General features: G+C 41.2%; 1 protein-coding gene and 1 long non-coding RNA gene across 3 annotated transcripts in view; one reads left to right on the top strand and one right to left on the bottom strand.

Annotated features, from left to right (window-relative positions):
• The window catches only part of CLDN10 (claudin 10), a 146,005-nt gene that overhangs the window by 66,414 nt on the left and 67,246 nt on the right, over positions 1 to 12,345 (bottom strand). The window lies entirely within an intron of this gene.
• The window catches only part of CLDN10-AS1 (CLDN10 antisense RNA 1), a 54,467-nt gene that overhangs the window by 20,565 nt on the left and 21,557 nt on the right, over positions 1 to 12,345 (top strand). The gene's annotated exons all lie outside the window — the stretch shown is intronic.

Raw genomic sequence — 12,345 nt, 5'->3', positions numbered from 1 at the left:
ACTATAAAATTTCTTCTTCATCACAGTGCCTCCTGCCCAGCACAGTGCCTGCCAGACAGGGGATATGTAAATAGTAAATAATAAATAATGCTCTTGACTATGGATTCTAAGGGCCATTCTACAATGGTAGGAAAGTTCCAAATTCAAGCTAATAAAACATTTATTGGACTGGGCATGTTGGCTCATGCCTGTAATCCTAGCACTTTGTGAGGCAGAAGTGGGAGGATCGCTTAAGCCCAGGAGATCAAGACCAACCTGGGCAGCAATATAGTAAGACTCTGTGCTCCACAAAAAACTTAAAAATTAGCTGGGTGTGGTGGCATGCTCCTGTGGTCCCAGCTACTCAGGAGGCTGAGGTGGGAGGATCACTTGTGCCCAGCAGGTTGAGGCTGCAGTGAGTCAAGATTGTGCCACTGGACTCCAGCCCGGGCAACAGAGAGAGACCCTGTCTCAAAATAAATAAATAAAAATAAAATAAAACTCTTACTGTGTGCCAGGTATTGGTGAAAACAAAAGTCAAAACCTGGCACTTTCTGTGGGTGAAAAGCTGATTTTTCCCTAATCAGGTTCAGTCTATTTTCCTAAGGAAGCCTATAGGGTTGTAAGCCTGGACACACAAGTGCAGTGCTCTAGCCTGATTGAAAGCATGGCCAGCGTGGTGGAGGTGGCAGAGAGGAGACAGTACCAGGTGACTGGGGGACATGGCACAGGGCTGCAGCTGATACTGCTCTGGGCCCCTGGGAAATTCCCAGGACAGCATCCTGTGTGGCACAAACTAAGATACAGTCCTTGGGTGAAATCATCTCCCTCAAGGGAAGTTAAAACACTCGCTATCCCCCTATTCTCCAATCTCTCCCTTCCTAGACTTGTTGGCAAAACACATTGCTCACATTTACATCGAAAACAGATACACAAACCCAAAACAAACAAACCAAAAACAACAAAAAAGGAGAGAGAATCTTTATCTAAGATGACTTTTCTTAGTTATATCATTGGTCCTAGCCTTGTTGGTCAAACACATTGCTCATATTAACATCAAAAACAGATATACAAACAGAACACAAACAAACAAAAACCAAAAAAAAAGGAGAGACGATCTTTGTCTGAGATGACTTTTCCTAGATCTATCATTGGTCTTAGCCTTGTTGGTCAAACACATTGCTCATATTAACATCAAAAACAGATATACAAACAGAACACAAACAAACAAAAACCAAAAAAAAAGGAGAGACGATCTTTGTCTGAGATGACTTTTCCTAGTTATATCATTGGTCTTAGCCTTGTTGGTCAAACACATTGCTCATATTAACATCAAAAACTCTGGGGACTGTTGTGGGGTGGGGGGAGAGGGGGGGGATAGCATTAGGAGATATACCTAATGTTAAATGATGAGTTAATGGGTGCAGCACACCAACATGGCACATGTATACAAATGTAACTAACCTGCACATTGTGCACATGTACCCTAAAACTTAAAGTACAATAATAATAATAATAAAAAGAGAAAAAAAGTCAGAAAAAAAAGATATACAAACAGAACACAAACAAACAAAAACCAAAAAAAAAAAAAAAAAAAAAGGAGAGAGAATCTTTGCCTAAGATGACTTTTCCTAGTTCTATCATTGGTCTTAGCCTTGTTGGTCAAACACATTGCTCATATTAACATCAAAAACAGATATACAAACAGAACACAAACAAACAAAAACCAAAAAAAAAAAGGAGAGAGAATCTTTGTCTAAGATGACTTTTCCTACTTTTATCATTGGCCTAGGTCTGAAACACCAAAGGAGAAGCTTCCTCTCCTCTTCTTTCTCTCACCTCTGCCTACTGCAGAAAACTCTTTCACAAAGAAACACTTTTGTATGAAACCAGTTTCCTTCACATCACTCAAGTTTCTCAACACTTGTTCTGTTAATAAACAAACATAGGTTTGAAAGTCTTCCTTGTTTTAGGACTTTCAAACCTATGTTTGTTTACTAACAGAACAAGGATTTAGGGTTTTTTTCTCTTTCCTTTTTTGTTCTCTGCCATTCTATCATAGGTTTTGCTTTTTCACCTAAAGAAAATCCCACAATGGCTTGGATAAATGATACTAATCTGTATTTACAGTATCTCACTTTACTCCTTGCTATTTTGAGTTCTTACAGTTGACTGACTTTCAGATGTATGAAAAAATTGGACCAAGTTCTTGAAAAACTGGTTGTCAAATCCTAATTCTGTAGATGTTCCAAGAATTCTTGAGCTTTAAAAAATGATCCCTGTCATGAAATGTTTTATTTTCTAGAAAATTCTTATGCCTGACAAATACATCATATTCATAGAGTACTTTTATATTAGATTTCAGGAGCTTTACATTTTTTTGGCTGACAGAGCGTTTCCAACACCCTGAACATTTTCTTAGTACCTTTGTTTTATACTTGGAGGACTGAGGCCTGAATAACTTGTCTCACATAGCAAGGTAGTCAGTAATGGAGTAAGTTTCCAACTGGTTTATTGTAGACTTACTGGTTCATTGGAGACTCACTCCAACAAATTTTCACTTAATTTCCTAGCAATATAATTTATGAATTATCAATATTAAAATATTTCTTTATTGTGCAAAGACATTTTATGTGCTTCCAAGAATTGTTTTCATAGTGTATAAAAGAGAATATACATATTTTATATAATTATGTATACATATTATATGTATATACTTAAGCCATAAAAACAATTCAAACATGAAGGTATAGAAAAGATTATGGTAAGGCAAATGAGCAAAGGCTTAATAAATAAGCAAGTAATCAAATGTTCAAAAATCAATGCTATGTAAAGATAAGATCTTTACCCTTAAAACATTTACCATTAACCCGGGAAAACAGAAAACAAACAGTCTCTAATTGATGCCAGCACAAAGAACTAGAGTCCTTGTGCAAAATACAAAGACCTTCTGGAAATGGCAAAGGAAGGAATGAATTCATAAACTTTAAAGTGTGCTCAGAGGGGTCAGGACAAGCACAGGCTTCTCAAAGGAGGTGAGTGCTCTTTAGGTGGGAAGATGGTGACCACGTGGATTGAGGGAGAATTGCAAGATTGGCCTAAGCAAAACTCAAAGGCAGAAATGTCCAGATTTTCTCCCTTGTCAAGTGTTCTTCACTGGAAGCCAGACTCTCGCTATCATTCCAGGGTGTCCCTCTGGGGAAAGGGAAGGAACACCACCACATTAAATGTGACTCATCTCAGTCTCAGAAGCTGTGGTGTGCTGGAACTTGCTTGCAAAAGCTCAAGAGAGCTTTCCCGTTGCAATTTGGGGAAGTGAATGACAACACATTGGTAGTTTTGGTAGTTTAGAATCAGCCAAGTTGGGAGTATTTACACCACAGAAAATGACAAATGCTACAAATCAGCTCCCCATGCCTATCCTACCCACCACCTTTTAAATGTTTACCAGCACACCTGGAAGCTGTGCATTTTACAGTCAGGGTGCTATTGTGGCAGCTGTGTGAGAGGAAGAGAAAGGAGATCTCTGGGAGTGGGGCAGAAGAAACAAGTAAGGAGTCGGAGGTAGAGACAAAGACGATGGTGGCAGGAAACCACCAATGACCATCAAGAAGAGCGAGTGAGTCACCTAGGAATTCATGGGAAAGAGATGAGTCCAGAGGGGACTGGAATCACCGTAGGGAAAAGCAGAGTTGCTTAGTGCTCTTACTATATGAGTGCTGACTTAAGATGTTAAAAATCTGCTTATATTCGGTCTGACACCTAACATTTTTATGAAGCTAAAATTATTGTTGCTTTGCTATGTCACCCAGTCACTTGTTTCTGTTCACTGGAGCAGATCCAAAACAATTCTTTAATGAATTTTCGCACTGCCTGCAGGTACTGCTGCCACTCACCTCTGAATTAAGGAATTTCAGGGGTGATCTCATTATGCTCAATTTTCCTCGATGTCAGACCTGACCCCCAGCCAATTTCCTGTTAAAGTGCATAGGTCCATCTTTATGGCCACAGGGAGGGGCTGGTCTTCATACACTTGCCATTGTAAACAGACCTAGCAGTCCAATACCATATTCACAGTCTCTTATTCCAAAACTTGCCTTTTCTCCTACATTACAAACCTTAGTTATTGTCTAAGTAGTTATCCAAAACAGAAACTTGGGAGTCATCTCTAGTTTCTCTATCTCTTTCATCTCCCATGTCTGACCAGTCAGCTTAATATCTTTAGTATCTGTTCCCAACTGCTTCTGTTACTGCCTTACATCAAGTTCTCATCCCTTTTTCCTTGAGTTCCACAAAAACTGCCTAATCATCTAGGCAGTGGACATCTTCAGCCTCACCATCCTCCAGTCTCTGCCCCATATTAGACTCACATGGATAAAGCACACAGCTGATCATGTCAAACCAACAGGGGTTTCCTCAAAGTTTTCTAGAATTTTCAGATAAAGTTCAGACTCTTCTTGTCAACCCACAAGGCCTTATGAAACAACGCTCATCTAGTTCCTCAGTCCCATTGCTCATGAATCCTCCATAGCCACCAGCTCTTTGTGCTTCAGCCTGGAACCCACCAGACTACCCGGCTCCTCCAACTACTTCATTACTTACCTAATTCCTACTCATCCTTCAGGATTCAGTTAACAATCACCTCGAAAAGGAAGTCTCCCATGATGTCCAGAATGATCCAGATATCGCTCCCTCTTCCCCTCACTCCTCTCTGCTTCTATGGTGACTGTATCCATTTCAATCCCAGTTCTGGTCATACAGTTGGGCGGTTGTCCGCCTTCCTTACCTCATGGCAAGAACCATGTCCTCTTTGACCTTGTGTCCCTTTTTACTAGCACTTAATTGATGCTTGATGTATGTTTGGACAATGGTTTGTCCTGGACTTGATTTTCCCTGTAGCTGGGATAGTTAGCTTGAGAATACAGGGGTACATATGATACAGAAAATAATGCAAAGCAGGGAGTAATATGTACTTGGCCGTATTCTGTGACTCTAAAATGTAAGAGCATGAAAGACAAAGATGAAACATTCTTAGACAGGTGGCCTTATCAACACTAATGCAGAGAAGAGGAGTCAGGAAGAGGCTGCTGGACCTGGCCACAAGAATGTTAATGGTGACCTTATATTAGGTAGTTTTAGGGAATGCAATGAATGGCATAGAAGGATAGGGTGTGGGAGAGGAAGCTAATGAATATATGTTAGTTCAGGGTGTGCCAGATGCTTTACATACATAATTTTATGTCATCTTTATTTTTTATTTATTTTATTTATTTATTTTTAAGACAGGGTCATGCTCTGTCACCCAGGCTGGAGTGCAGTGGTACAATCATGGCTCACTGCAGCCTCCACCTCCTGGGCTCAAGTGATCCTTTCACCTCAGCCTCCCTAGTAGCTGGGACCACCGGCATACGACACCACATCTGGCTATTTAAAAAAAGTTTTTTGGCCAGGCTTGGTGGCTCACACCTGTAATCCCAGCACTTTGGGAGGCCGAGGCAGGTGGATCACTTGAGGTTGGGAGTTCAAGACCACTCTAACCAACATGGAGAAACCTCATCTTTACTAAAAGTACAAAATTAGCCAGGCGTGGTGGTGCATGCCTGTAATCCCAGCTACTCAGGAGGCTGAGGCAGGAGAATCGCTTGAACCCAGGAGGCAGAGGTTGTGGTTAACCAAGATTGCACCATTGCACTCCAGGCTGGGCAACAAGAGCAGAACTCTGTCTCAAAAAAAAAAAAATTTTTTTTTTTGCAGGTGTCACTATGTTGCCCAGGGGCGTCTTGAACTCCTGGGCTTAAGTGATCCTCCTGACTCAGCCTCCCAAGGTGCTGGGATTACATAGGAGTGAAACACCGCACCTGACCCCACATCGTCTTTATAATCACTCTAGGAAATAGGTTTATGTCCTTCAGAATAAAAACAAAAAATAATTACCAACAAAGGAGTTGAAACTCAGAGGTTCAAATAACATACATGAAGTCATGCCTTCTTAGTGGGTGATGTGGGATTCAAACCCTGGTTTATTACTTCACAAGACCACATGCTTCTCATTATACCATATTCTTTATAGATGTAGAAGGAGACATCAGAATAAAGCTGGTAGAATTTACCCGAGCCTTAACCCTACTCTTCCCCCAACTCAAAAATGTTTATCTGTTGAAGATGGTAGGAAATTAGGATAATAGCCAAAATTCACAAATCGATCAAAGGAATATTTTTTTCTCAAAGGAGAAACTTGGATGTTTTCAAAGGCAAGTATATCTTTCTATATTTATTCTTAATTTCCATGAAAAGTTGTGCTGATTGGGATAATTTTAACACTATGTTGAGACTTTGTAAGTCCATGTGACAGGATGGTATCATCCAAGGACCACAGTGAGAAAACAAGGATCTAAATACCCAGGGTTCTATGTTCAGCCCGGCCCCAATTCCTCGTGGCCTGCTGAGAAACTCTATTTTGGGAGCTTTACTGCCCCCAAACCCCTCCCCCATGCATCGGTGTGAGTGCTGAACTGGGCAAAAGAAGGTAGGTCACTTTTAGGAGTTTGTGGGGTGGCAACCCTCCTCTTCCCTCCCCTTCCTTTTGAGGAGAAAGAGAATTTTAGTCTTCTCAGAAGGCTGATGGACCCTAGACTACAACTCTCACCAAGTTGGATAAAATAGTAAAGAAATCAGACAGTGTTGATGGAGAGACCAAACCATACTTGGTTCACCAACTGTTGTCCTGACTGACAGGAACGGGTCCACCTTGAGCAGAGAAGGGCCACCATCAGTGAGGGCCTGAGGCTTGAATCTCTGGGGTTTGCAGACACCAGGTGGGTCTGAGGTGGCAGAACTTCTCCCAGAGGGAGGCAGAGGGGAGTCTCTTGAGAAGAGAGGCAGTAGAGGGCATGAAAAAGATCAGAAGGAGAGATAAACATCCATGGAGATACCTTTCCTTTTGGATGCCTGCGTCTTCAAGGGCGGAATTACACATTTGTTCTTCCTGCACTGACTGGCTGTTCTTTTGAGATCTGCCTGACTGTCCTTAAGAAAACTCCATCATAGTTCAGTGTCTGTTTGGAAAGAGAAGGCTGCTGTAGCAGAAGGGACTCATGGGAAGGGATGGAAATTAAATTTCAGCTGTTTGGCAGGGCTCTCGTGTAGACAGGGCTGATGAGAACATCTCTCCACCAGTCCATCCCATGTGACACACACACACAGGCACACACACACACTAGCATCAGCAGCTGCAGACATTCCTAAGGTGGGGCATTAAGCAGTGAGGTTGAATTCCCTAACCCTACCCTATCAAGGATTAATTAGTTCTCCTTTGAAGACAGAAAGGAGCCAGGCGCAATGGCTCACGCCTGTAATCCCAGCACTTTGGGAGGTCGAGGCAGGTGGATCACCAGAGGTCAGGAGTTCAAGACCAGCCTGGCCAACCTGGTGAAACCCCATCTCAACTAGCTGGGCGTGGTGGCAGGCACCTGTAATCCCAGATACTTGGGAGGCTGAGGCAAGAGAATCACTGGAACCTGGGAGGCAGAGGTTGCAGTGAGCCGAGATTGCACCATTGCACTCCAGCCTGGACGACAGAGCGAGACTCCGTCTCAAAAAAAAAAAAAAAAAAAAAAAGAAAGGGAAGGGTCTTGGCACAAGCCAAATTACAAATGTGTCTATTTTATGTTTATTCAAGCATTAGCCCTCACTTTGTAAACATCTGCTTTGCCCACTGCCTCCTTAGTTCATTTTACCTGTTATGGCAGTGATTCGACAGAGATGAGAGCTTTGAGTTGTATTTGCTTCACTGTCTGCCAACAACCACCCTGGAGCCAAAAATACCCTTCAGATAAGGCACAAAGGGACTTGGCCTGGGCTGAAACCAAAATCAACTTCCAAAGACCATAGTCCTTATACGAATGAGAGCTCAGAGCTGTGCACTGAAGAAAGTGAGTCAGCCAACGACTTCAAGTCCCCATGTGCCCATTGTAAGACATCCCTGGAATGTGGCTCTCTGCATTTGAGCAATGGGTAAACAATGGGGCTGCAACAATACCTGCCTTTAAAAATGAGTGGGTTCTGCTAAATTTCCAGAGAGAGAGAACCAGATCTGATTTTATATTTTTAGTTAGGAAATTCCTTGTTTTCTCCCTGTGGACGCTCAGAACCTGATACCATCCTATCACATGGACTTGCAGTCTCAACATAGTGTTAGAATTATCCCAAGGAACACACCTTTTCATGGGAATTAAGAATGAATACAGAAAGATGTATTTGCCTTTGAAAACACCAAAGTTTCTCTACTGGCAAAAAATATTCCTTTGATCCATTTGTGAATTTTGGCTATTACCCTAATTCCCTGCCACCTTCAATAGTTAAACGTTCTTGAGTTGGGGGAAGAGCAGGGTTAAAGCTCAAGGTAAATTTCACCACCTTTAATCTGACGTCTCCTTCTACTTCTTGAAATTAGTGAGAATTTCCAGTGTAATAATCAACAGTGACTTACGCAGATAATCAAAATGAATGCTTTTTAAAAATATGCAAAGCTGGCCAGTGTGATGGCTTATGCCTGTAATCCCAGCACTTTGGGAGGCTGAGGTGGGGGGATCACTTGAGCTCAGGAGTTTGAGACCATCCCGGGCAACATAGTGAGATCATATCCCTATAAAAAGGAAAAATAAAAATATTAAAAAATATTTTAAAATTGCCAGGCGTGGTGGCTCATGCTTGTAATCCCAGCACTTTGGGAGGCTGAGGCAGGCAGATCACCTGAGGTCAGGAGTTCTAGACCAGCCTGACCAACGTGGTGAAACCCTGTCTCTACTAAAAATATAAAAATTAGCTGGGCGTGGTGGCACATGCTTGTAATTCCAGCTACTCAGGAGGCTGAGGCAGGAGAATGGCTTGAACCTGGGAGGTGGAGGTTGTAGTGAGCTGAGATCAGGCCACTGCACTCCACCTGGGTGACAGAGTGAGACTCTGTCTCAAAAAAATAAAATAAAATAAAATAAAAAATTAAGGAATATGTAAATGTCATCTCATATTTTAGTAAATGTGATTAATGTTTCTTGCAGAGGACTTAATGTTTCTTGCAGAAGTAAAAAATGTAGGCAGACAGAAGAGAATATTCCTGTTTTCCTGTCCATAAATATGCCCATATATAGTCTTCTGTAACTTACACTATTCACCTCACTGTAGTCCTCTTTCTGGTTCAATTGTCATACTTCTTCAGTGATGATATTTGCTTGCTTGGCTGGCTTTATCGACAATCTCTACTTCAAACTCTTTTCAATGACCAAATCCAGGAAATATTTTAAGGTGTGCATTTTCCTGTAATTCCATGTAGTATCCATGACTACTCCTTTTCATTTCAATGTTTAAAATTCTGATAAAATACAGGTAACATAAAATTTATTATTGTAACCATTTTGAAGTGTACAGTTCAGTAGTGTTAAGTATATTCACATTTGTGCAACCAGTCCCCAGAACTCTTTTCAACTTGCAGAACTGAAACTCTGTACCATTAACAACAGCCCGCCATTTCTCCCTCCCCCTTCTCCCTAGCAGCCACCATTCTACTTTGTGCCACTATAATTTTGACTAAGTGCCTTATATAAGTAGAATTATACAGCATTTGTTTCTTTGTGACTGACTTATTTCATTTAGTATTACATCCTTAAGATTCATGTATGCTGTAGCTTGGGTCAGAACTTTCATCCCTTTTAAGGCTGAATAATATTCCATTGTAAGTATATAGGACATTTTGTTTATCCATTCATCCACCCACGGACACTTGGGTTTCTTCCATGTTTCAGTTTTTATAAACAGTGCTGCTATAAACATGGGTGTACAAATATCTCTTTGAGATCTTGCTTTCCATTCTTTTGAGTATTTAACCAGAAGCGGAATTTCTAGATCATACGGTAGTTTTATTTTTAATTTTTTGAGGAACCTATGGACAGCTCTTGATATAACATCCTTCCCTTTGGTTTTATATAAAAATGCATTCTTTTGAATATTGTACCTGTATTTTTATCAATACTTTTTAACCCTCAATATTAGCCACTTTCCATGGTTTAGTGTTTGACCCTCTAATGTTTTTTTCTTTACATTTTCTCCTTTGGTAAACACATTCACTCTTGTGGCTTTTATTAATATTATCACCTCTATGAAAATCTACATATTCACCTCTGGCTTCTGTCTTGAGATCAAAATATTTAGCTATATATTAAATATCTCCAATGGGCAAATATCCAAAATACAGGCCCAAGACAGACTCCATCTGTGAATCCATTTCTCTTCACCTACACAGGAAGCATTTGAGCAAATTTAACCCTACCACAAGATAGAGCCAACCAACAGTTAGAACAGTATGCTTGGGTGGCCACTGGGAACCTGTTGAGACTTTAAGTTTTACTCCTATCCCTTTCATTCATCCATACAAATGTGTCCATCAGAAGAGATAGATGCTCCAGAAACAGGACATCTTTGCTGAAGACCTTTTTACTGAGTGAGCATAATGCATCGGGAGAGTGCACATCCCCCTCACTTAAAACATGCTGCCGGTTGGGCAAAGTGGCTCATGCCTGTAGTCCCAGCACTTTGGGAGGCTGAGGCGGGCGGATCACTTGAGGTCAGGTGTTCAAGACCAGCCTGGCCAACATGGTGAGACCCTGTCTGTACTAAAAAATACAAAAATTAGCCAGGTGTGGTGGCGGGCTCCTGCAATCCCAGCTAGTCGGGAGGCTAAGGCAGGAGAATCGCATGAACCTGGGAGGTGGAGGTTACAGTGAGCTGAGATCATGCCACTGCACTCTAGCTTGGGTGAGAGAGTGGGACTCTGTCTCAAAAAACAAACACACAGAACAAAACAAAACACAACAACAAGAAAAAACATGCTCCCAAGCTGTTCCTCACCATAAACGTCCTGGCAACAGTTGAAGTGGGGAAAACTTTCTAGAGAAGGAGTGACTAGGCTGATTCACAGGTTTGTACAACCACTCCCTGAGGCTGCTCAGACATTTGAGAGGTGAGAAATCACAAGTAAGGCCAGACTTCCTATAATTAAGCAGGTGGGAGGACAAAAAAATTAAGATTCGAAGTGTTACTGCAATTATGATCTCATTTGTACTCCCAGACTGGTGATTTCTTTTCTAGATGAATTGTAGACTATATGCCCAAGTCAGGAAGCTTGGAGTTCAGCTAAACTTCTTTTTCTCACCTTTAAAATCTAACAAGCTTCCAAGTGAATCTATCCCTTTTAACATGTGCGGAAGTAAAATACTATAGCTTAAAGGATTGGGTGTGGGGGCTGGGGTGGTTATAAATGGAACACAACTATTGTAAAATTCTTATATTAGATGCTATGAATTCAAAGTAGACCCTGATAAGTTAAGGGTGTAAATTGTAATCCCTAGAACAACTATTTTAAAATGCCAAGAAGTATAGCTAAAAGATCAATAAAGGAGATAGAATGAAATATTAACAATTATTCAATAAACAGAGAAGATAGAAAAGAAGAACAAAAAGCAGCTGGAACAAATAGAAACCCCCCACCAGCAGGATGTAGACTTGAACCCAACTATATCAGTGATTACATTAAATGTAAATGGACCACCAAACATTTCAAATAAAGGCAGAGATTATTAGACTAGATTTTTTTAAAAGATAAAATAGGCAAGACCCAATTATAAGCTGTTTATAAAGAATGCACTTGCAATATAAAGAAACAGACAAGTTCAAAGTGAAATATGGAAAAAGATACCCATGCAAACACCAATCACAAGAAGGCTGGGGTAGCTGTATTGACTTCAGACAATGAAGACATCAAGACAAGAAGAATTACTAGAAATGATTAGAGTCATTTCATAATGATAAAAAGGTCAGTTTACAACAAGACCAAGAAAAGCTGGGCATGGTGGCACACACCTGTAGTCCCAGCTACTTGGGAGGCTGAGGCAGGAAGGTCTCTTGTGCCCAGGAGGTCAAAGCTGCAGTGAGCTACGACCGCACCACTGTACTCCAGCCTGAGAGACAGAGTGAGATCTCTATCTCTAAAAACAAAAAAAATGGGCTGGATGTGGTGGCTCACGCCTGTAATCCCAGCACTTCAGGAGGCCAAGTCGGGTGGATCAGTTGAGGTCAGGAGTTCAAGAACAGCCTGATCCACATGGTGAATCCCTGTCTCTACTAAAAATACAAAAATTAGCGAGGCGTGGTGGCATGAACTTGTAATCCCAGGTACTTGGAAGGCCGAGGCAGGAGAATCGCTTAAACCCAGGAGGTGGAGGTTGCAGTGGCTGAGATCATGCCACTACACTCCAGCCTGGGTGACAGAGTAATACTCTGTAAAAAAGAAAAAAAAAGAAAATTAAGAATTAAAAA

Source organism: Homo sapiens, chromosome 13 (genome assembly GCF_000001405.40).
Source record: "Homo sapiens chromosome 13, GRCh38.p14 Primary Assembly".
Taxonomy (NCBI): domain Eukaryota; kingdom Metazoa; phylum Chordata; class Mammalia; order Primates; family Hominidae; genus Homo; species Homo sapiens.
This window is presented reverse-complemented; position numbering and strand designations above follow the sequence as displayed.